The sequence below is a fragment of the Homo sapiens genome, chromosome 3 (genome assembly GCF_000001405.40).
Source record: "Homo sapiens chromosome 3, GRCh38.p14 Primary Assembly".
NCBI lineage: Eukaryota > Metazoa > Chordata > Mammalia > Primates > Hominidae > Homo > Homo sapiens.
This window is the reverse complement of record NC_000003.12, coordinates 157626147-157627247: the sequence shown is the minus strand read 5'-3', so window position 1 is coordinate 157627247 and position 1101 is coordinate 157626147. Positions and strand designations below refer to the sequence as shown.

The 1101-nt window shown below is 45.7% G+C and overlaps 1 annotated feature.

Annotated features, from left to right (window-relative positions):
* Positions 340-509: an enhancer, noted in NCBI's record as "experimental_65660 CRE fragment used in MPRA reporter constructs". NCBI's record gives its function as "activates a minimal promoter by MPRAs in K562 erythroleukemia cells, with activity observed for both the introgressed and non-introgressed 3:157344613 variant alleles {active_cell/tissue: K562}" and the evidence as "EXISTENCE:reporter gene assay evidence [ECO:0000049][PMID:34662402]".

Genomic DNA, 1101 nt, shown 5'->3' with positions numbered 1-1101 from the left:
CATCACACTTGGAAATACCTGTGCATCTGGAAGCAAACCATCTGTCTGCCCACTATTTACTGCAAAATGGTGAAAGAAGGAAATATTGACCAAAAAAAGAATTTGTTGTTCTTCTATTTTTCATTTGCACTATACAGGTACTAAGAGGCTAGTGTTTGTTTACCTGGAGATGCTTATCTCTACTAGTGGGAGAGGACAGTCAGAAGCACCTGGGGCATGTTGGAACGTTCCCAAGTTCACTCATCCCATTCCAGGGTTCCACACTGCTCTGAAATCACTCTTCCTGGGAACTCATATTGCCACTCCCACCTTTGCTCCACAGCGTATATCCCTGATCTAGAGCAATGGTTCAGTGACACTCTGCTCACAATGCCAACGACTAGTCCACAGCTGCTGAAGAAGAGGCCAGGATATGCCTTCCTGCCCTCTTGGCTAGAACTGTGGGGTGAGTAGGGGAAACATGATGCTCTAGGCCAAGCTGTCTGAAAGGAGACACTGTGTGGTCAAATGTGTGTTTGGTAGATATTCTACAGTGCACACAAGGATGAGTTGAGATTGGAAAATAAAAGATTCAAAATTCGATACCGCCATTGTTCTGGTAAGGTCCCCGTGAAGCCCTTTGTGTGGAGCATGAGATTCTTCAAGCAAGTGCCACTCTATTCCAAGACTTTCTTTTTCGGTAGCCTGCCTGTCTCCTAAAGTGACTGATGCTTATGACCTGAAAGATACAGCTTATTGATACAACCTGACTATAATACACCAGTTTTAAGCTAGCAGCCAATGTCATATTTGAGAAGTTAACATATGAGTGGCTTTTTCTATAAGTTTTTAAATGATTGGGGATTTATTTGGATGGAGCATCCTGGTTCCTGCTGAGCCTCACTGTTGGGCAAGAAAGGACCTGGTTGTCTTGGAGTTCACAGAGCTTTCAGGAGGGCTCCATCCTTATTGCCCTTCTACACCTTCAGCATGACTTGTCCCCTGCCCAGGTGGAGAGGAACCAGAGCCCTGAGAGCTCTTCTGGACCAGATCCTCCTCTTCCTTCTCCACCAGCACCGAAGTCTACTCGTGTTTTACTTACAACCTGGTCTGACTTCCCTG